The following is a 25,543-nucleotide window of genomic DNA, read 5'->3' on the forward strand; positions in this document are numbered from 1 at the left end:
GTAATTAAGTTATTTCAATTTGGAAACTGAATATTATCAAGAGCTATGGGATGTATAACCTTAAGACAGACCTTTCTACCAGGTTTTTAAATAGTATGTCATTTGCAGAAACCTAGATAACTAGGAAATTAGAATGTAAATTTTTTGCATACTCCAATCAGAGGCTTAGTCAATGGAATTATGTATCATATAATCTTACTTGCTATAGTTAGTTAGAATATTTGCTAGACCACAGAGCAAAGAAGGCTAGAGCCATGTGTTTACTACCTTTGTGACACTCTTTATAGCTTTATTTACTTTATTTTATGACCATGAAGTTTCCCTATAACCCACAACAGATATTGCACAACTGTGTTTCTTAAGTCACAAACTTAATCTCAAAAGAAACCCATTATACATTTGTACCCTCTCCAGTAAGGTTAATTTCAAGGGCATAAACTGTTTTCTACAGTTTATGGCTTCATACATAAAAACAGAATTATTTTATAATGGAAAACTATCTTCCAGGAGAATAAAAAATAAACATTATGTCGTATCCAGACAATTCAAAAAGTATGTTAAATATTGCATTTAAACATTTAGTAAAACTTATTAATTATAATTTATGATAATTTTTTGTAGGCTTTTGATAAGGACCTACATTTTCATGGCTAAAATGATCAATATATGGCTAAATGGTTGGTGCTGTATTATGCACTGTTTCTAAGCAAAATGTAGCCCAAGTGAATTTTATTTAATTGACATACCACTTAATGTTAATAACACTTGGGTAATACTGAAGATATTGCTAATAAAAATAGAAATCTCGTATTAAAAACAAATTTTAATAATCATATAGAACAATTGCCATTGACATCGTGAATCCCATATTGCCAATAATACAATTTTCTCTGTATAAGTCTTTTCAAAGAAAGGATCTTATTACCTCAGAAGAAATCATTTATTTGGGGGGAAAGCATTAATCATATTAAATGTCTGCTAATCTTAGTCAAATTCTCTCCTCTTATAATTTATAACTATTGGCCTTAATTTTTTCATCTATTCAAACAAGCTAAGTATGATCCTTCTTACATTACCTATACTTTCAACATCTGAAAAGATCTCATATAACCATCCTAAATGTTAAACTTTTGATGCTGAAGATCACTATGAAATAGCTTCAATATCTATATATGCAGTCAGAATTGTCAGGCTTAATGAGGCCTTGGCTAATTCATTTCTCATCAACATAGAAACATAGGCTTGCATATTTGAAAGAGTCTTATTGAAGATTAAGGGTGATGAAATATGCCTATATTATTCAGGGTAACTATTCTGTCTCAACCTATTTAAATGTTATCCAATATTATTAGAACACTTCAGACTGATAAATGTTGATATTGACCCTTATAGGAAAGCAAATAATAGATGAAAAAAAATTTGTAAAGTATGCTACTGTTATAAATAATAATATACTTAAAGAATGCACCAGTGATATCCTGCAAAGATAAAAATATTCTATTGGCAACATAAAAGCTGAATATGCTTGTAAATTATTCCACTTAGTCAAAGATAATTTAATAGACTAGGTGATTTAAAAAATTCAATCAAGCAGTCACAATTTCTCTCGTATCTTCAACTATTGTATTCCTACTGAGTAGTTTCACTAAAAGTTATCTTTGAAATGGAATTTAAGGAAAACAAGACACAACAAAAGTTATTAGTTTATGAAATGAACTGTAAATTCATGGAACTTTTTATTTGTGATATGGAAATAAGAGCATCGGAATAAAAACTGGTCCAATTAGAATTCAGGATACTCTAATGGATACTAGATAGATAGCAAAGTATCTACACAGATATATAGATTAAGAATTTGCATAGACACAATTATCCTTTTGAAGTTGATAGCTTGTCATTACACTTGTTCATAATACATCTTTTGCTGCCACTGTCAAGGGCAAATTTGTGAACTGATCATAACATTGGTCTAATCCCTTATAATTTATATTCTGAATGAACTTAAATAATAAATTAAAGAAAGAGGGTAATGCCATAATACCCAGAACAGCAACATTAAAAAGTCCTTCAGTTAGAGGCAGTTTACAATCATAAAATACAAACTTTTATTTGATTAAATCTATAGTAGTACAAGAAAAATGTGATTAATGTAAAACCCAGAAATATTAAATCTCTTAATTAAGATTACCCAGTAATTTAGACATAGAGCTATCACATTATACATATTAGAATGCTTTTTCTTCATAAAAACATGACATTTTTAATATAACCTTTTTATAAATAAAAGTAAAGCAAATTTTAGCTCATTAAAGCATATCCTCAGGTACAAGGGTAAAATGGATTCCAAATAGAAGGATGGCAAAAGAACTATAAAACTATGGTTACAATAATGTAGGCAATATTTTATTGTATGGTAAAGTCAAGGTAAACAATTTATAACTATAATGTCACTGGAAGCACAAAGATACTAAACTTTTAAAAATTCAAGTAATAATTCATCATATTATTTATCACAAGATGGTTTGAAAACACTGTTATACTATTCCTGAAGTGACATTATAGAGATGGAGAAGGTTGCCAGGTATTAGGGAGACAAAAGGAAGAGAAGTGGCTGTGGCTATAGAAGGGTAATATGAGGGATCATTGTGATGGACTTGTTCTGTTTTGAGCATGGTGGTGGTTACAAGTCCACAAGTGTGATAAAATTACACAGAATTAAATATATATACACATACACACGAGTGCATATAAAACTGGTGAAATCTGAATAATTTTGATGGATTCTATAAATTTCCTGACTGTGATATCATACTATAGTTATTCAAAAAGTTACTATTAGGAAAACTGTCAGGAAAGGCTTACCGGATCTCTGGATGATTTCTTCCAACTAAATGTAATCTTAAATTACCTCAAAATAAAAGATAAAATGTAAAAACACTCTAAAAAGTTACTAAAAGCAAAAAAAAAATAAAATTAAAGTTTAAAAACAGTTATAAAAAAACCATTATGCTAGCAAATTTATATAAAAAGCTCTAAGAATGTCAGTGGCTCACGCCTGTAATCCCAGCACTTTGGGAGGCCGAAACGGGTGGATCACCTGAAGTTAGGAGTTCCAGACAAGCCTGATCAACATGGCGAAACCCCATCTCTACTAAAAATACAAAGATTAGCCGGGTGTGGTGGCATGCACCTGTAATCCCAGCTACTAGCAGGGGCTGAGACAGGAGAATCGCTTGAACCTGGGAGGCAGAGGTTGCAGTGAGCCGAGATCGCATCACTGGACTCCAGCCTGGGTGACAGAGCAAGACTCTTGTCTCAAAACAAAAACAAAAACAAAACTCTAAGATACACTTCCAATTGAAGGAAGCTAACATTCAAGGTTTAAAATAGGAGCATAATTGATCTCAAAATTATATGGCTTTTTAAGGAAGAGGATTATTTCTAATGAAACAGTATGAAAATGAAACATTAATTGGTTTATACAGCATGTTTAAAGAAAATAAGTAGATTGCTTTGATCCCAGTCAAGTGATCTTATAGTATAGGAAAATTAAATCAAATTAAATTTTAGAAATTAAATGTAAACAAAAGCATGAAAAGACATTTCTTTACTTATCAATAATAACTCAATGAGTTAAAAACTATCTATTCACATGAGTATACCCAGGGCAAGGGAAGAACATCCTGGCAAAATCAGGCTAAACAACAAATTATATTCAATGCTGGCATAAGATGCCATTTACAGTCACACAGGCTGTGTACTGTACAACACTCAGGAATGTCATTTATGCAGACTATCATATTATTGGACACTCCTGAAATTGTACATTGTGTCACCTGCACAGCTGTACTGAGTGGTTCTGGGGAATAGGAGATATGCTATTTATTTATTTATTATTTAATTTTGCTTATGCTACTGAGATCCCGTTAAGACAAATTAGAGATCAAACAGAAAGATTAAATGTTTTCTTATGGCATACAAAATGATGAACACCCAATGTCATGTATGCCACTTCCATTGGGAAAATAACTTCAATTTAGTAAATTAAACATGAAACACGTTCTATGCTCTAAAATACTGTTACATTAAAGGAAATTAGAAGCTGATCAAATGAAAGCTCAGACTACCTCTCAATAAAATACATGAACATAAAATTTCAATTGTATCATGACTTTATTTGGACTTATCTTAGTCATTTTGCTCTTACATAAATTTGGGGGGTTTAATAGGGTCACATCTTCTGGTTAATTTTTGAACACCCACATGAGCTTTTAATGAAGGTAGAAATCTTCAGTATAAAGTCCATTTATTTTCCTCCTTGAGGAAAATTAGTTTGAAAATATTGCCAGTTACCTAAAGGAACTGCATCATTTTCATATTCTATTCACAGAGTAATAGCTGCACAGAGTCCTCCTAAGAATCCCATCTGCATGTAAATGCCGCAGAAAGCAGTCCTCACAAAATACCTTCAAAGCTAGACAATTACATTTAGAGAACGCAGCCAGGGCTCCTGGAGCAAAGTATACTGGGAAGGTTAGAGTCCTAGTTAATATGTACCTGATAATTTATGAAACATTCAAGATTATTGAAGCAACACCTGTTTAAAAAAAAGATGTTTGCTTCACAGACAGAATATGTTTTCTCTTTGAGCAAAGATTATTATTATAAGATTTAAGCAACCCTGACCCAGAAAAAATATATTTGAATACATTCTTTTGCCATTCACCTTTTAAAGAGTAATTATTATCTCTAATTATCCTAACTTACTCTTCTAAATAAAATAGTAAAATCGAGCAGATGATTGAGATAGTATAATCAATTTGGGATTTCTCAGAATAAATGTCATTGTTCAATACATAATGGTAGAAAAATGTAGATGGAAAATACATTCCTAGCAAATTCTAAGATTGGCAAATTAAAGATTCTTATCTTAATACAAAATCTACATTAATACTTCTACCAAAGATATTCTTATTTCCCAAATGAACTTGCTGGCAATAGTGAGACAATGACTGGAACAATTTTCCCTAGTATCACACTTTGATTTTTTTTTCAACTCAGCTTCATTACATTTTATCTTCCTAAGTAAAGAGAATATTATATATAGCTGCTATCAAAATTTAACAAAGACTGCATCTGAGGTTGCATCATGAGTTTCAGGGATTTGGTGACCTTATTAGAGAAAAATGAAGACTTTTTGAGTGCTAGGACTGAAACCTCAGTCTTCTTGTAGAAACTTAGATCAGGACAAATCATGTAGACATGATACAGATAAGGAAAGGCACACTAGAAGAACAAAACCTAAATCTTTGACTGTTGAAGTTAAAATTCAGAAATGTTTTTTTCGTTTGATGCTATATTTTTGGAGTTCTTTGAGAAGTCACAGAAACCAGTGCTTCTGTGTTCAGTTATAATATTCTGACTTCTTGATTACTTGAAATAAGACATTCCTGTTTAAGTGCACTGTTGCAATAAAATACGCAAAGTCATATAAGCAAGATGTTAAAGTCGTTTTCAACTTATAATACATAGCCTTGGTATTTTTAAATGTTTGTTTGTTTGTTTGTTTTTCTCTCCACATTTCTCCACTTCTAAGTTGAGATGCTCTTTTTCTGAACTTGCATGGCACCTTCTGCCTCAGTTTTTGGAATTTTCACTCATCTCTCTCTTAGGGGAAGGACAGAGGATTGTTTGTTTGTTTGTTTGTTTTTATTTAGCCGTTAACATGTTCTCTGGAACATATACTGAGTGATGTTTGATGAGTAGATGGTTTTCAGCACTTCTTAAATAAAACAAAACACTTTGTCAATCCACTCAACTATACACATGGGAAGACTGCACTAAAATCCCATGACAGGTAAGTAATTAAATTATTTTACATCTCTCTTTCTTAATTGAGTAATGTCCATAAAAACAATTTTTATGCTTTTCACTACTTGAAAGTGGCATTAATATAAACTACACCTTGTGGATGTAACTACTGAAGCTATGAATTCAATAATTATTTCAATTCATAAATATTCATTATGAGCCTACCACAGACGAAGCACTATGCTAGGCACAGAAAATTGACATATAATGAATAATTTTATTTGCCTTTGAGGAGTTATCTATCTAACAGAGGAGATAGACAAAAATATCTCCCTAATGCAATATGATGAGTACAATAATAGAGGTGTGTGCAAAATATAATGGAAACCCAAATAAGGAAGTCATTCATTTTTCAGGCACAATAAGATTTTCTACTACTATGAATATTTTCATTACAAAAAGCACAGAGTCAGTGAAAAATTACGTTTGTTCATGAAGTTTACAGAAGGCTTATTTCCCTAGGTGTAGTTTCTAACCAGAGAAACCAAATTTGACTGAAATAAATAATGCAGACCATATGAATGTATTTCCTTCAGTTCTACTTAAGTAAGATTCAACACAATAAAAACTCACGATATTTTTACATTCTCGATATCAGCTATTTTCATGTATGCCATTATTCCTGTTATTTTGAAGCAATGAAAGACAAAATGAGCAAAAACTGCTATATCTTCTAGTTCTCTGTTAGATAGAATTGGAAATTTAAATTTTATTTCTCCCAAATCATCTTCCATATCTAATATGAAAACATAGTAACAACATCATATTTTAATTTTATATTGTTCTTCTTTGAATACTTGGAAAAATAATGTACAGGATATTAAAAAGTTTAGCTATTACCTTAAATGTACTGTGAAAATGTAAGAAATTACTGCAAATTTTATTAATTAGGCTCCTAAAGATGCCATAACAAAATATCACAAATTGGGTGGCTTTAAATAATAGAATTTTATTTTTTCATGTTTCCGGATACCATAATCTCAAAATCAAGGTTTCTACAGATCCATGTTCACTGTGAAGCCTCTGTAGAATAAACTTTCTTGGCTCTTCCTAGCTTCTGGTGGTAGTTGACAAATTCTCAGTGTTCCTTGGCTTGGAGGTGTGTCATTTCAATCTCTACCAGAATCATCAAATGGTTTTCACCCCTGTGTCTTTGTTGGGACTCCCCCACTGCTGGAAAAAGGTAAGCAGAAGATCCTCAGCAGTCCACATTCCCACAATATACACCTGCAGTACTAGCTAGAGGAAAGCCCCCTCAGCACCCCGATACCCTGAGTATAGGGAGTTACCTGGAGTCTCTTGTGACTGCGTTGTTCCAGAGAGTTCACGCTGGGTCTCTCCCGCCTTCTAGGACCCAAGCTGCTACAGCATGGTATCATTTTGAGAGCAGAGCCACCATCACACTACATCTTGCCCTGGGGCTTGATACTCCCCGCATCTCAAAAATCCCTGGGACTCTGCAGATTTCTCCCCAAACCAATCCAAATGGTTGCAGCAACATGTCACAAGCTTGACCCAGCAGTATAGCTGTAACCTAGCACCTCAGACCACATAGTACCCCTATACCTCTAGGAAATTAGGCAGCTGAGCACAACAGGGTGGCTCACCTCCAGATAATATGAGGCAAAGCAAAAACTCCCCAGATCCTGAGAGCCACGTACCCGGACCTGCAGCTGCCAGCAAGAACATCAATTCCTCTAGCAGGGAAGCCACTATGCATCCATGCATGCCCTCTGGGGATCTGAGAACTGGCCCACCTGGACAATCACTCCCACCCTGACCATCACTATGTGCCACTCACCATCCCAAGGACTAGCCTGCTGGGGCCCACTGCAAGCACCACTGATGCCCTTGTGTTCTGCCAGGGGCCCAAGGACTGCTCTACCTAGGACCTGTTGCTACTGCATGCCAAACCCACCCTCTTCAGCAATGGGGCAGCTGTGCCTTTGCCTGCTACCCAGGAGTGTGAGGATAGACCCACCTGGGGCCCATCACCCCCACTGCTGGTCCTGTGCATACCCCCGATCAGCTTGTCCACTGTCCCTGTTCCCAGCAAAGCTGCATCCAGTCTCCACAAATAAATGCATTCTAACCTACTCAGGAACTCACAGATATCACTGAAATTGATTACAGCTAAGTAAATCATACAAAGATTATACAACTGTGCCCAATCAGAACCAAAACCAAAGCACTCTGTCCAACAGATACTATAGATAAATCTACAGAAAAAAAACTTTGCCCTATAAATCTACTCCACAAAATTGGAAGAAGTGTGTACACCAGGTACACAGATATCAATATAGGGTCATAAGAAACATGAGAAAAACAAAAAAGGAAATTTGACACCTCCAAAGAAAAGGAAATCTATAAAATTCATGAAAAGGAAATCAAAATAATAATTTTAAGGAAACTCAGTGAGAAGCAAGAAAACACAGACAATTTTTAAAAATCAGGAAAACAATTCTTAATCTGAATGAGAAATTCAACAGAGATATCATGTAAAGGAACAAAACAGATATCCTATAGTTGAGAAATACAATGAATAAAATTAAAAAATACAATTGAGTGTCAACAATAGATTAGATCAAGCAGGAGAAAAAATTTCTGAACTTAAAGACAAGTCTTTTGAAATAACACACTCAGACAAAAAAAATTACAAGAAAATGAATAAAGCCTACATGATATATGAGACACTATTAAGCAAACAAATATTCACCTTTTGGGAGTTCTAGAAGAAGATACGGGAGAAGGCACAGAAAATCTATTTAATGAAATAATAGCTGAAAACGTCCCATGTCTTAGGAGAGAACTAGACATCCAGATCTAGGAAGCAGATAGATCCCCAAACTGATTAAAGTGATAGATTTTGGCAGTTTGAATACAATGTGCCTTGAAGAGGACCACAGAAATGAAATATTTCTCTTCAAGGCACACTATATTGAAACTGCCAAAATCAAAGACAAAGAGAGAATTCTAAAACAGCAAGAGAAAAATGTCAAGTCACATATAAGGGAATGCTCATTAGACTAATAGATTTCTCAGCAGGAACCTTATAAGCCGGGAGAGAATGAGATGATATATTCAAAGTGCTGAAAATAATAATAAAAAAGCTGTAAGAAAACTACCTAGCAAAGCTAGGTAGCTTAAGTTCTTAAGCTATGCTTAAGAAATGAAGAAGAAATATGGTCTTTCCCAAGCAAGCAGAAACTCAGGAAATTCATCACCCCTATAATGGTCTTACAATAAATGTGTAAGGGAGTCTTATATCTGGAAGTAAGGTACAATATCTACCATCATGAAAACAAACAAAAGTATACAACTCACTGGTATAAAAGATATACAAATGAGAAAAAATATAAATAGTAAGAGAGGAAGAAACAAATAATATACAAAACAATAAGAAAACAACAAAATAACAAGAGTAGATCTCACCTATCTACAACTTTGGATGTAAACAATTTAAAATTTTCAATTGAAAGGTAGAGGGAGGATCACTTGAGCCCAGGAGTTCAAGGTCAGCCTGTGCAATGTGGTCAGACTCTGTCTCTATAAAACATTTAAAAATTAGCTGGGTGGCATGGTGGAATGTGCCTGTAGCCCCAGTTACTCAGAAGGCTGATACAGGAGAATCACTTGAGGCAAGAAGTTGAGGTGGCAGTGAGCTATGTTTGTGCCTTTGCCCTCCAGTCTGGACAACAGAGCAAGATCTTTCCTTGAAAAAAATAATAATAAAGGAAAATTTTAAAAATAAAATGATATAGACTGGCTAACGAATAAAAAACAAGACACAAGTATATGTAGCCTAGAAAACTCTTTTCTCTTATAAAGTCACACAAAGATTTAAAATGAAGGAATTCGCCAAGGAAAGGAAATAAAAGGCATCCAAATTACAAAAGAGAAAGCCAAATTATCCTTGTTTGCAGATGTCATGATCTTATATCTAGAGAAATGTAGACTCTACCAAATGCTTTTAAAACTGATAAAAAAATTAGTAAAGTTTCAGGATACAAAAACCAACCTACAAAAATCAGCAGTATTTCTATTCACTAATAGCAAACTAGTTAAAAATAAGTCAAGAAAGAAATCCCATTTGTAATAGGCGCAAAAAAATAAAATAATTAGGAAGAAATTTAACCAATTAGGTGAAAGATCTCTACAATAAAAACTAAAATGTATTGATAAAGAAATTGAAGATGACATAAACAAATGGAAAGGTATCCCATGCTCATGGATTGGAAAAATTAAACATGCTAAAATGACCATACAACCTGAAGGAATATACAGATTCAATGGAATCTCTATCAAAATACCAATGACATTCTAAATATAAAAAATATAAAAAAATTCTAAAATTTGAATGGAACCAAAAAAAAAAAAAAAACCCATGAATATCCAAAGCAATACTAAGAAAAAAGAAAAAAATCCATGGACATCACACTACCTGTTTTCAAAATATAGTACAAAACTATAGTAAGTAAACCAGCATGGCATTGGTATGAAAGCAGATACGTAGATCAATAAAACATAATAGAGAACCTGAAAATAGATACACATATTTACAGCCAACTGATTTTTGACAAAGATGTCAAAAACATACACTGGGGACAGAACCCCCTCTTCAATAAATAGTATTAAGAAAATTGGATATTCATATGCAGAAGAATATAATTAGACCCATATCTCTCTCTATTTAAAAAAAAGATCAATTTAAAATGGATTAAAGACTTAAATGTGTAAGACCAGAAACTATAAAACTACTAGAAGAATGCATACGAAACACACTTGAGGACATTGGTCTGTACAAATATTTTATGATTACAAAATAAACAAATGAGACTCTATTAAACTAAAGAGCTTTGGCTAGCAAAGGAAACAATCAACAGAGTGAAGAGACAACCTGCAAAGTGGGAGAAAATATTTTAAAACTATTTATCCACAAAGGACTAATATTCAGAATATACAAAAAATTCAAACAACTCAGCCAAAAAAAAACCACCCACAAATAATTCAGTTAAAAGGGGGGCAAAGATCTAAATAGGTGCTTGAGAAAAGGAAAGTCATACAATTTTGGTGGGAATGTAAATCACTATAGCCATTATAAAAAACGGTATGAAGTTTCTCAAAAAACTAAACTAAAACTACCATATGATCCAGCAATCCCACTATTGAATAGTTATACAAAGGAAATTAAATAAGTATATCAAACAGATATCTGCATCTTCATGTGTACTGCAGCACTATTCACAGTAACTAAGATTTGGAATCAACCTAAATGCCCATTGATGCATGAGTGGATAAAGAAAAGGTGGTATATATGCACAATGGAATAGTATTCAGCCATAAAAAAGAATGAAATCCTGTCATTAATGGCAACATGTATGAACCTAAAGAACATTATTTTAAGTGAAATGTCACCCATGGAAAGTTAAATACTACATTTTCTCACTTATATGTGGGAGCTAAAAAAAATGGTGCTCATAGATGTAGAGTAATTTTATGGTTATCAGAGGCTGAGAAGTGTAAGAGGAGAGTGCTAGAGAGAGGTTAGTTAATGAATATGAAATTACATCTACTTCCCAGAAATAAATTCTAGTGTTCTAGAACAATAGAGGATGAATATAGTTAACAATAATTCATTGTGTCTGTTCAAAAAGCTAGAAGAAAGGATTTTGAATGTTCCCAATAAAAAGAGCCAACCGGCTGGGTGCAGTGGCTCATGCCTGTAATCCCAGCACTTCGGGAGGCCGAGGCAGGTGGATCACGAGGTCAGGAGATGGAGGCCATACTGGCTAACATGGTGAAACCCCATATCTACTAAAAATAAACACACACACACAAAAATTAGCCAGGCGTGGGTGGCGGGCGACTGTAGTCCCAGCTACTCGGGAGGCTGAGGCAGGAGAATGGAGTGTACCTGGGAGGCGGAGCTTGAAGTGAGCCGAGATCGCGCCACTGCACTCCAGCCTGGGCAACAAAGCGAGACTCCGTCAAAAAAAAAAAAAAAGAGCCAACCAACCAGTACATCAAAAATTCCTGATAACGCCCCATCCTGTAATGTTCCATCAATCAATCTATAGAAATAGAGAATAAATTCTAACACTATAAACCATGACGTTTTGTAATTTATCATTCCAATAGGTTATAAATTGAACCTGTAGAAGTAGGAAGTCACCAATAAATTTGACTTGTAGAAGTAGAAAGTGTGAAAAATAACAATTCTTCATAAACAATATGACAGAGGCAAAATAAATTCAAAATATATTCAAAATATATTATTGGGAGCTTTTGACTTGTGTAATTCTAATTTATTTTGTTAAATATTAAGAAAATATATCATAAATATTTGTAATATATCTTGCATTTCATCAGGCATATCTACTGAGTATAACAGTGCTGAGTTTGGCTTTACGTATGCTAATTAAGAATATGAGCATTTGCAAAAGACATTGAAAGAATAGGGGTTTATTTTTAAAGTATGATATTTTATTGGTTTTTCTTGAGTTATATTCTAATCCTCTTTAGCAAATTGGTACTATGATCTGTATTTTCCTTGAAAATTGAGTTTTCAGTTTAAATCAGTGTCCTATTGAGGACGTTCATTTTCTCAATCAAAGATCTTTAATAACTTAAAAATTTAATATATGTGGCTTTACTTCTTTGTGTGTTTTCCAACAAGGCAAAGTGTAACCTAGGTGTCAGCTAAGTCATCTCTTTTAATATCTGAATATGTTTTGTTGGAACCGCATCGCATAGCAAATGAAAGACACCTGATTCTCTCTCTCTCACACTTCTGCAAATTCCTAGGAGTTTATTTTTTTAAGAGTCATTTTCCACTCCAAATTTCTCTTTGACTACTCTTGATCTCACTCATGTTTCATTTCCTATGGTTGTTTTTGTCTTTCTAAAGGACCCACCACAAACCACATACGTGGAAAGTGGCATCTTTTTTATGAATCCACCAACTTCTTATTCAGAAGATTAACTTGGGTAGGAAGAATCAATATCGTGAAAATGGCCATATTGCCCAAGGTAATTTACAGATTCAATGCCATCCCCATCAAGCTACCAATGACTTTCTTCACAGAATTGGAAAAAACTACTTTAAAGTTCATATGGAACCAAAAAAGAGCCCGCATCACCAAGTCAATCCTAAGCCAAAAGAACAAAGCTGGAGGCATCATGCTACCTGACTTCAAACTACACTACAAGGCTACAGTAACCAAAACAGCATGGTACTGGTAACAAAACAGAGATATAGATCAATGGAACAGAACAGAGCCCTCAGAAATAATGCCGCATATCTACAACTATCTGATCTTTGACAAACCTGACAAAAACAAGAAATGGGGAAAGGATTCCCTATTTAATAAATGGTGCTGGGAAAACTGGCTAGCCATATGTAGAAAGCTGAAACTGGATCCCTTCCTTACACCTTATACAAAAATTAATTCAAGATGGATTAAAGACTTAAATTTTAGACCTAAAACCATAAAAACCCTAGAAGAAAACCTAGGCAATACCATTCAGGACATAGGCATGTGCAGGGACTTCATGTCTAAAACACCAAAAGCAATGGCAACAAAAGCCAAAATTGACAAATGGGATCTAATTAAACTAAAGAGCTTCTGCACAGCAAATAAAAACTACCATCAGAGTGAACAGGCAACCTACAAAATGGGAGAAAATTTTCGCAACCTACTCATCTGACAAAGGGCTAATATCCAGAATCTACAATGAACTCAAACAAATTTACAAGAAAAAAACAAACAACCCCATCAAAAAGTGGGCCAAGGACATGAACAGACACTTCTCAAAAGAAGACATTTGTGCAGCCAAAAAACACATGAAAAAATGCTCACCATCACTGGCCATCAGAGAAATGCAAATCAAAACCACAATGAGATACCATCTCACACCAGTTAGAATGGCAATCATTAAAAAGTCAGGAAACAACAGGTTCTGGAGAGGATGTGGAGAAATAGGAACACTTTTACACTGTTGGTGGGACTGTAAACTAGTTCAACCATTGTGGAAGTCAGTGTGGCAATTCCTCAGGGATCTAGAACTGGAAATACCATTTGACCCAGCCATCCCATTACTGGGTATATACCCAAAGGACTATAAATCATGTTGCTATAAAGACACATGCACACGTATGTTTATTGTGGCACTATTCACAATAGCAAAGACTTGGAACCAACCCAAATGTCCAACAATGATAGACTGGATTAAGAAAATGTGGCACATATACACCATGGAATACTATGCAGCCATAAAAAAGGATAAGTTCATGTCCTTTGTAGGGACATGGATGAAGCTGGAAATCATCATTCTCAGTAAACTATCCCAAGGACAAAAAACGAAACACCGCATGTTCTCACTCATAGGTGGGAATTGAACAATGAGAACACATGGACACAAGAAGGGGAACATCACACTCTGGGGACTGCTGTGGGGTGGGGGGAGGGGGGAGGGATAGCATTAGGAGATATACCTAATGCTAAATGACTAGTTAATGGGTGCAGCACACCAGTATGGCACATGTATACATATGTAACTAACCTGCACACTGTGCACATGTACCCTAAAACTTAAAGTATAATAATAAAAAAATAAAATAAATAAAGATGTATACAAACAATTCCTCCAGCAAACTGGGATTAAGGATTACATTCTACACCAGCAAAGAATACACCTGAATATTGAACATTAAACACATATTTTTCTTCAAACTTTCTGAGTCATGACTCTGTCAGAGAATTTCTCTTTTTTTCGTGTTCTTTCTTTTTTTTCTTTTGGAGATAGGGTCTTGCTATGTAGCCCAGGCTGGAGTACCATGGCAGTGAACCATGGACTAAAGCAATCTTCACTGAAGGAATTCCCTGATGTACTACTTTTCTTTTCAACTTCCTCCACTCTCCTCTTTCAATACATAATTTTCATTCAACATCACTCTTGGTTTTCCTCTTTTCTTTTGTATTATTTGCAGATAATGTTATTCCTGGAACAATGGAAGAATCTCACTACTAGCCAATCTGTTCTATGCCAAAGGGTGTCATTTTTAGCCAATCACTTAACAAAGGCAATTGTTCTTCAAGAGGAATTCTAAGGTAGCTATTTTTTTCTATTTTCCACAAAATAATTTAAATACAAGTCATAGTACTAATTTAGAACATAAATCATATTATCTAAGACATAGAGTTAACAATACATTGAATAATGACACGTCATCTTCTATATAGCAGAATAAATATGTAATTATCTTGTTAAATACATGGAAGAAAAACCCTGAAATTTTTTATTGCAAGAGAGATAATAAAGGGATATTAATTTTTTAAATACCCATTATTTTGAAATATAGAAGATGCTGAATCTCATTAAAATCATCTGGTTTTATGGACTATAGTGCAAATAAGGCAAGTATAGTGCAAGTCTTCACTTGTCTTCCTTTATCACTTGTGTCACTTGCCTTTCTTTATCATGCCCTTTGTTATTGGACTTTGCAGCTCCTCCCAAGAGTCTGTCTGCTTTCTCGAGAACTGAAAATTCCATATCATCTTATAAGGTCTGATATCCTACTGTTCTATGCTTAATCTGGAAAACAAACAAAGCGAAAAATAAAATAAAATAAAAAAGAAAGCACCTGCCTTTTGACTAACCATGATGACTGTTGGTTGACTAACCATTATCCCGTTTTGTAGAATAATATAGGGAGGTATGTTGAACAGAAAATGAGTGTTCAGAAAAAAAAAGTTAAAGTCATTGTAGCAGAGAAAGTCATTGTAGAAGGGACCAGTGAGTTTAAAAGGAAGTTTTAATGTTTCGCTTTTATGCTTTTTTTGTATGAAAATGATCCTATATGAATTGGCTACTTATTTTTAAATCCATGCCATCAAAGGATTTTGGGGCTAAAATATTTGCCTGTAAGCATTTACTAGATAAGAGAAATTAGTCAAGTTAGGCATAGGCTAGTTTCATGAAAAAGATGCTAATGGAGGGGAGTTGCAGAGGTGACTTTCAAAAGTAATGCCTAAATCAAGAAATTATATTTTGATGATCTGAATTATTAAAAGTATTCAGAAAATTGTCTTATTAAGATGAAAAAATTTGAAATATTTGTTTATTTAAAAATGTAAGCTATTTGCATATTAGAAACAAATATACCAGTATAAGATAAGTTCTCAATTATTAAAACCTTACATTCTCTAATATTTTAGAAAATTGTAGGTTCTCTGTTACAATTTGTTTCTTTCTACACAAACTGACAAGAATAAATTGTTTATACAGACTTATGAATAAAATTTATGGATAAAATTAATGTGCTTAGAAGAGGCAAACTGCTTTGGAAGCCCCTTTCTTCCCCATCCACACTGTGCTTTGCCAACATCTTCAATCTCCTCCTCCATTGTCCTAATATTCCATGGCCCAGCAATGCTGTTGCCTGTCTTGTTATGCTTACATATAAGTTAACAAGCCTGCTGTAGAAAAATTATGCAAGCTTATAATTGTTTCTCTTACAAACATATGTTGTGAAATCTCAACCCTATTCAAAATACTGCCCAGCAATCCTTTGATTCCCACCCCCTTTTTCTCACATTCTCCAGAGAAAGTATTTCAAATAAATCTCACTCTGCTAAAATATCCTAACCTACCACCTCTCCTCACTTTCAGGACATGATTTTGCCTCTTTCTTAAGAAAGAAATTAGAAACTATTAGAAAAAAATACATAGAGAGAGTTCAATTTCTGGTCACTGCACTTATAAACTTAAATGAGATATATCTATCTTTTTATACTTTGCTCTTATCAAAATGAAAAAGGTGTTTCCTCTTGGCTAGGACTAAGTAATAGGTTAATAAATTACAGAAAAAAAAATATGCCAAGCATTAGAAATTATGATTAAATTAAAAATAGGTGAAAGGAGTAAGCAAGAGGAACTTTGGAGTTTAGTGTCAAAGTTGTAGGGGCTCTGAGCAATGCTCATGAAAGTATTTATTAAAGTAGAGCAAAGGTAAGACTGGTCTGATAGAATGAATTAGGAGGTATTCCCTCCTCTTCTATTTTTCAGAATAGTTTGAATAGTATTAGCATTAGTTCTCCTTTAAATGTTTGGTAGAATTCTGCACTGAAGCCATTGACTCCCAGGCTTTTCTTTACTGGAAAACTTTTTATTATATCTTTGATCTCATTACTTGTTATTGGTCTGTTCGGGCTTTGGATTTCTTTATGGCTCAGTCTTGGTAGGTTGTATGTGTCTAGTAATTTAACAGTTTCTTCTAGATTTTCCAATTTATTGGCATATAGTTAATCACAGCAGCCACTGATGATTTTTTGAGTTTCTGCCGTATCAATTATAATGTTTTCTTTTTCATCTCTGATTTTACTTATGTGTATCTGCTCTCCATCTCTCTCTCTCTCTTTTACTTTAGTCTGGTTAAAACTTTGCCAATTTTGTTTAATCTTTTCAAAAAAACAACTTTTTGTTTTACTATCTTTTATATTGTTCTCTTTATTTCTATTTCATTTATTTCTGCTCTTATCTTTATTATTGCTTTTCTATTAATTTTGAGTTTGGTTTGCTCTTGCTTTCATAGTTCTTTAAGATGCATCATGGGTGTTTTATTTGAAGTTTTTCTTTTTTGATGTAGGCACTTGTAGCTATAAACTTTCCTCTTAGTACTGCTTTTTCTGTATCACATAGGTTTTGTATACCCATATATGTGGTATCTATACCTTATTTGTGGTATCTATTTTTGGCAATAAAGATCATACACTCTGTGATATTCAATCACCCATTCCCCTGACTCTAGTCTTTGATAAACAGTCTTTGTCCTTTTATTCCCATATGTAGAGCTTCGAAATCAATTAAGTTCCTTACAACCTCTGACATAAAGCAGTCTCCTAAATGGCCTATTAATCTTCACTTTCTTCATCTGTCTCACTTTTTAGTTATTGTATTTTTTTCCTCCTGCCTTTCACAGGCAGATTATCAAAGGAAAGTTTACTTTCTACTACTGTATCTATCTGTGCCAGTATAGACATAAACATAAACACACACATATTTCTATAATATGTAAAATACTAGTGAGTATTCATTATACACATTTTTCCTACAGGGATTGCATCAATAAAAACCATGTATCAGAGATTGCTAGTTATCCTCTAACACCTTTTCTCCTTTTCTTTCCTAAAAATGGGATTTTAGCTGGGCAATAACTAGCTAGAATAAGGATTGCTTTCCCCTGAGTCCCTAACAGCCAAATAGCCATGTAATTAGATTTTGGCCAATGGGATATAAGCAGAAATAGGAGAAAATGAAATAGAAAATGTAGGTCAGCAACTAAAACTTTGTTTAAGAGGTAGCTGATGACTGCCATTTGGGTTTTCCTTTTCCTTGTTCTTCTTCCTACCGTTTGAAGTGTAACTTAATGGCTCAACTTGAACAAGATATGATCTTGGGAATGAAAGTAACCTACAAGTAGAACAGTCAAATAAATGGATCCTGAGTGTTTGATACTAGGTGGTGGTGGTGCGGTTCCCATAAATGCCTACCTCCAGAAACCTGCATTAAAAACAAACAAACGAACAAAAACAAAACACAAACAACTTGTGTCTTGTTTTAGCCTCTTGGTTTTTGTTTGCATTTTGCTTATATTTTCTTTTATTCATAGTTAAACCTAATCCAAACTAATTTATGTAACTTCAGTCAAATCAAGTACAACCATTGGAAAAAACATGTAAAAGCAGATTATCAATGATGTCAAATTATATGTGGAACAAAAATTATTTATACATTTCACAAATGTATGTAAAATAAGTATAGTGTGAAATGTTCAGGGCTAGGCATTCTGTTTATTTTGAGATCCAAGTTCTCATTAAGATCCTGTTATTTGAGCAAAGATATGTGTACAGATAGAAACAAAGCAAGAGAGAAAGTAATCTGGAAGGAGAAAAATCACAAAATCTTTAGATTGTTGAAGTCACAGGAAATTATGCATTCCAAAGTAGGGTGAACAGAAACAAAAGATGAGAAAAAAGCTGGGTAGATGCCATCATATACAGAATGGATGATGGAAGAAAAAAGAAAAGAAAAAGTCTGAAAGGATATAGTCAGTGAGTAATAGAAAAAGATACAAGAAAGAAAAGACATCCCAGTGAATAAGAATGAAGGATGTTCTGGAAAAGAGGTAATAATCAACAAAGTCAAATGTTGCAGATAAATCAAGTGAGATAAGTATTAAATTAGGAACTAAGAAGTTATTGCTCATTTTGTAAAAGACAGTTCCAGAGAAATGATGGGTAAGCTAGTTTAATAGTAATCGATTAGGGAGCAAAAATTGATGGTATAAAAGAGAATTAAGAAAATTGGGGCATGACACTCCTGAGTAGTTGAGAAGGAACAGTGCACAAATGGAGGAACTACCTTTAGATGGGAGTCAGCCTTCACTGGAAACTTGTATTGACTAAATTTGTTAGTTTAAATCTAAATGTTTAGTATTATTTTAACCAACTAATAAAAATAAATAATTGTGCAAAACGATTTTAATAAAACAAAATGTATTACATACCTTATTGCATTCTTAATTTGAATAACATTACATAGATTTTCTATGTTATATAACCTGCATGCCATGTTTTCACTAATATTCTGATCTTGATAACCATATTGTTCCCTTGACTTCAGCCAGTATTTCATTTTTAATGACTTAAAAATTCTTATTCTTACTTCAAACTATATATCATAATTAAGTCAAACATCCAATAGGACATATTCTTTTTGGAATAGTGCTTATCTGCAACCTACATCTTACCAATTGAAATCATTATTTATCTTCTGGGCCCAATGTATTAAAATGTCTTTCTGACCTTTCTATTATTATTTACATATTTTCCATAATCTAATCTGAAGAAATTACTATTACTCTCTTTGATATTCAATCACTCATTCCCTAACTTTAGTCTTTGAAAATCAGCCTTTAACCTTTTATTTCCATATGCAGACCTTCCAAATTAATGAAATTTCATTCAGCCTCTGGCATAGAGCAGCCCCCTAAATGGTCTTTTAATCTTCACTTTCTTCTTCTGCCTCACCCTTTAGTTACTGTAACTTTTTCCTCCTTCCTTTCACAGACAGATTTTCAAAGGGAAGATTTCTTTGACTATCTCTACTCCTTCACTTTGCTTAAATGATTCTCCCCACTCTTTATCATTAATTTTTCAATGTCTGGTAGGTGATCACCATCACAGTATTAACTCTGCCAATAAACAAGCAAAACCACAAAATAAATAAAAATTCTTCTCACGCTACTAATCTATTTATCACTAGGTCTTATTTATTCTATCAAATCATGTATTTGTATCAATTAATTTACTATAGTTTACAATAATCTATTGTATATTTCAAAGTAGCTAGAAGAGAATAATGTAGATGATTCTAGCATACAGAAAAGACAAATATTTAAGGTGATGGTTATCCCAAGGACACTGATCTGATTGTTACAAATTATATAAATGTATTCAATTATCATATGTGGGCCAGGTGCGGTAGCTCATGCCTGTAATCCCAGCACTTTGGGAGGCCGAGGACGGTAGATCACGAGGTCAGGAGATGGAGACCACCCTGGCTAACACAGTGAAACCCCGTCTCTACTAAAAATACAAAAAATTAGCCAGATGTGGTGGCACGCCCCTGTAATCCCAGCTACTCGGGAGGCTGAGGCAGGAGAATCACTCAAACCCTGCAAGCAGAGGTTGCAGTGAGCTGAGATTGCACCACTGCACTCCAGCCTGGGTGACAGAGTGAGACTCCATCTCAGAAAAAAAAAAAATCACATATACCCCAAAACTACGTGCATCTATTATGTAAAATTCCCTGAACAATTTATTCATAATATCTGTTCTCCAATTCTCCCTTAAAACTATTCCAATCACACTGTCACTTGCAAAATTATTTTCATCAAAGTTAACAGTGACTTCCATGTTGCTAAATCCATTTATTAATTTAGGAACGTATTTTATAATAAGCTCCAAAAAAGGAGAAAAAAACTCTTCCCTTGCTCCTACTTTCTTTTTAACCTATTGTCCCAACACTCTTTCTTGCAAAATTCCCTGAACAACTTATTTATAGTAATTGCCTATAATATCTCTTCTCCAATTCTTTCTTCAAACCCCTCCAGTCAGCCTATCACCTACAAAATTACTTTCATCGGAGTTACCCAATGACCTCTATGTTATTACATCCAGTGATCAGTTTTGGAGCTTATTTTATTAGCTTATCATTCACATTTGACAACTGGCCAATTCCATTATAATTTTTTCTTTTGGTTTCCAGGAAAATTTATAAAGTCAATCTTATATGTCTGTGGGATCTGTATTAGCAGATTCAACCAATCACAGATCAAAAATATCTGAAAAAAAAATCCATACAACAATAATACAACAAAATGATACATACAGTTTAAAAACTATGTACAAAGCATTTGCATTATATTAGGTATTGTACATAATCTGGAGATTATTTAAAGTATATGGAAGCATGTGTGTAGGCTGTATGCAAATATTACTACATTTTATATAAGGAACTTCAGCATCCCAAGATTTTTGTATAATCAGGGGTGGTCCTGGAACCAATTTCCTGAAGACCCTAAGGGATAACTGTACTGTATTGTTTTTCCTCCTATCTCATTTACTCTCACTCTCAATCTCCTTTACTGGTTCATCCTAATTTTGCTGACATTTTAGTGTTGGAGTGTCCCACAACTCAGGTATTAGTTTCTTTTTCCTTTTTTTAAATTTAATAATCACTTCAACTGGTAGAAACAGGAATAATTACTTCCACTTTGAGATTTCCAAATTTAGAAGTTCAGCCCACACCTTTGACTTGAAACTAAGATTTGTATATCCAACTGTCCCCTTGAAATCTTCAACTACAGATTTATTAGCCATCTCAAACTTCACACATCCAAATTTAAGCTCCACATCATCCCTCCAAAAATGTTTCATCAATAGCCTTCCCAATATTAGTTAACTTAAATTGTATTTGCTCAGTTCTTCAGGTCAAATAATCTGGGATCTGTATTAGCAGGTTATTAGAGATATTCTTTAGAGCTATTCTTTTCTTTCTCCAACTTCACATTTCAAGAAATTCTATCATTTATCTTGAAAACCCAATAATTTAGCCTCACCTCCACTGCTATTTTCTTATTTCATAATTATAAACTCTCACTTACATACCACAAATAATGTCTGTTCTTTTAGCTTTCCCTCCTATAGTTTATTCTCCACACGGTAGCCACAGTGACTTTTTTTTTAAGTAATAAGGTCAATCATGTCATTACTGTGCTCAAGCCCCTCAAGTGAATTCACATTTCATCTAAAGTAAAAGACAGATGAATCTTGAGCCAGGCTCTATTAATTATCTTTCTTTCCCTCCTACTGCCTTTACCCATGGTCATTCTTTTCTAGCCACAATGGCTTCTTAGGTGTTTCTACAACACAATAAGGCCCACTCTGCTTTAAGTATTTTGCTCTAGATGTCATTTTTGCCTGAAGGCTCATCCAGTTGACTAACTTCCTTATATTCATCAGGACTTTGCTCAAATATCAACTTTACAATTAAGTAAGCTACACACTCATCAAAACATTCTTGCTCTCTTGACCTCTCTTACTCTTCCACATCTTTTCTTTCTTATCACTCTCTAGACAGAGTGTAGGGGTACCTTATTTATGTTGATTACTGCTTTTGTTCTAGATTCAGCTTTGGCTCCTTGTTGATGGATGACAATGGGTAAGTCATGTCACCTCCCTAGATCTCAGGTTCTCACCTATAACATCCAAGGTTTCTCTTAATTCTGATATTATGGCATTGTCAGCTTAGACGCTATGACAGAAACAAAGAAGTAAAACGTTCACTAAATACAATACTTTGTAAATAACTATTTACAAAGCCTTGGATGGAGAGTTGGATTAGATGCTCTTTAAAATTATTTCCAAACTTAATTTTGATTTTTACTAGAATTCCATTTGTTTAATGTTTATTCAACAAATACTTGTTGAGGTGCCTGCTACATAACAGCATTGTTCTAAGTGCTTCTGTGTCTAAAGCACCAAAGAGGCCTGCTCTTTCTTCCCTTGTCTGCATGAAAGTATTTCACAAGACTTCCTTCTCTTACCTTTTCAAATGACTCCTTCGGTTTTCTTTTCTGTATCATCCTTCTAAGTCCAGGACTTATATGTTGTTAAGTCTCAGATTCAGTCCCAGTCTTCCTTTGTTTTCTCATTTTATCCTCTTTCTATATATCCAATTATATTGTTGCCTATTGGTTCACTTACCATCAATATTAACTAAATACCAGTGTTGTGCTTCTACTCTAAATTATTGAATCATATAAGAAATATAGTTGTCTAGTAGATGGCTTTAATTGCACATCTTGAAGAATATTCCAATTAAATATATTCAAAACAAATCTCAATATTTACAGGGTTCTCATTCCAAACTTAACCTTTCCTCAACAATTTCCAACTCAGTGAATATTACTACTGCCTTCACCATTTGTTCAGATCAGAAAACTAGGTTTTATTTCAATACTGCCTTCTTTATCACCCCCCAGTCCATTACAAAGTCCTTTTGATTATACATCATCAGTATCTCTCAACTCAGTCTACTTCCTTACCTCATTAATATGACTCTAATTCCAGCTACCGTGATCTTTTCTTGGAATACTGCAATCATCTCTTAAGTGATCTTCCTACAGCGAATCGAGTCCCTCTTCAAATCAATCTCTTCATTTCAGTAAGAATAATCATTTGGATATTCAAACATCTTCAAGTAATTGTTTTGGATAAATTCCCATGGTTCTTAGCAAATCTTCACATGGCTTAAAAGATCCTCTCTAGTCTAGTGTTTACCTATCTCTTTCCTTTATCAGTGTCATCTTATTCATTCTTTCACTCAGTTACTGAATCATAATCTACTCAATGATATAATTAGATACAAATTTTTAAAATAGCATAAAGAAGCATTTTACTTTAAAAATATTATGTCTTAAAAGCATGTTCTGAATACTTTGCAGGTTTCATTAGACCATACCTTGAGTTTCTAAAGAAACAAACCATATTCCCCCAGATGATGGTGTTTAATTTTTGCTTTCAGATAACAAGGTATATAACAAGTCTGCTTAAACAAAGGAAAATTACTTCCAAGACTATTCAATTAATTTGAGAGAAACCATCAAGTTTGGACTGGCATGCTAAAAAACACAACTGTAGATTACAATAGGAATAACTTTTATTTGTTTATACAAGTTTTGAATTTCATCTATTTTTTATGTAAATAGCTCGATCTTCAAAAATATCCTTCAGCTCTGACAACCTCTTCACATAACTTTCCTGTAAGATCTTTTAAATATCCAAACCTGTAAAAGTCCACATTCAGTTGTTCTTTGTTCCTTAGTTTGCTTCAACAACATCAATGCAAGGTTAATAGAAGCTATTTACTTACCATATGGTAGGTGGCTCAGAACCTTCTATTTCTAAGTAATCATATTTCTCTTCCATTTGAAAATCAGTAAATATGAGTGAAATTGTGTCCCCAGGCTCTGCTACAATGGTCCAAGTGCAATCAGCATTGTTATGGTACTCATTAGGAAAACTAGGGCTGGATATGATGCCACTGGATCCTCTCATTGTTCCTCCACAAGCATCTTCAGCTGTTAAAAATGACAAAATATTCAGTTGTAAGTTATTGAGATAAATGCAATTGTTCAGTTGTAAGTAAAGCAAGTCAATATGTTTGGATAAAAATAACAGTTCAAATGTGATACCAAGTGCATAATATACTAATAGAGATTAAATAAAATGAGAATTTTATGAAAAAATGTATCAGCACATATACAAGTATAAAGTATATCTTAACAATTTTATAACAATTAGTTGAAATAGCAATAAAAGTAAGCAAAAAATCTACACTCTAAAATTAGACATTAGGAAAATAGAATCAAGATTTTATTTTCATGTTTAAGTGACAAAGTGAGTTAAACAAAGGAAACATGTATCTTAAAGTCTGTGATGGGAAATCTTTGATCACTTTGTTTATTGACGGAAGAGCTTTTTGGTTTTTCAATGCAAGTATGTACAACACAAAGACATAATTTAAGAGACAATATAATATAGTTCATGTCAATGGTATGTTTCAGAAGTTATTGAAAAACGTTTGTAGAAATACAACTCAAATAAAAATATATCACATATCCAGGATATTTTGTTTACAGAGAAATAATAGGGTAACTAATATAACTTTAGAAATATATTCATATGAAATCAAACAATGTATCTTTTACTAAATAGTCATATAATGTACATAGATACAACACCATAAATAACTTTTTGACTAACCTTACATTTGGAACTGTGATTCTGAGTTTCCAAATTGGGGCCATAGATTCTCCACTAGTCTACTTTTGGCTGATGGTAGGAACTAGCAGCGTGGTTATATGAGTAGCTGTGTTTGGTATGCAAACATAAGAAAAAGCTCCTGTTTCATAAAGGAATTGAAGCTGGGGCATTTGCCTTACTATAACATTGTTTAGGCCAGTCAAGCTAATAAGTTACAAGTTCACTTGTGAAATAAATTGTCTTATTACTTATGTTATTGCCTTGGCCAACTCAGGGAATTC

The 25,543-nt window shown here is 33.6% G+C and overlaps 1 protein-coding gene across 9 annotated transcripts in view; it reads right to left on the bottom strand.

Moving 5' to 3' along the window:
- The window catches only part of CSMD3 (CUB and Sushi multiple domains 3), a 1,214,012-nt gene that overhangs the window by 851,459 nt on the left and 337,010 nt on the right, over positions 1–25,543 (bottom strand). For all 9 annotated transcript variants that reach the window (NM_001363185.1, XM_017013010.2, NM_052900.3 and 6 more), the window contains one exon: positions 24,370–24,577. In NM_001363185.1, coding sequence (NP_001350114.1) covers positions 24,370–24,577 — 208 coding nt within the window. The remainder of the gene's footprint in view (positions 1–24,369; positions 24,578–25,543) is intronic.

Source organism: Homo sapiens, chromosome 8, assembly GCF_000001405.40.
Source record: "Homo sapiens chromosome 8, GRCh38.p14 Primary Assembly".
NCBI classification, from domain to species: domain Eukaryota; kingdom Metazoa; phylum Chordata; class Mammalia; order Primates; family Hominidae; genus Homo; species Homo sapiens.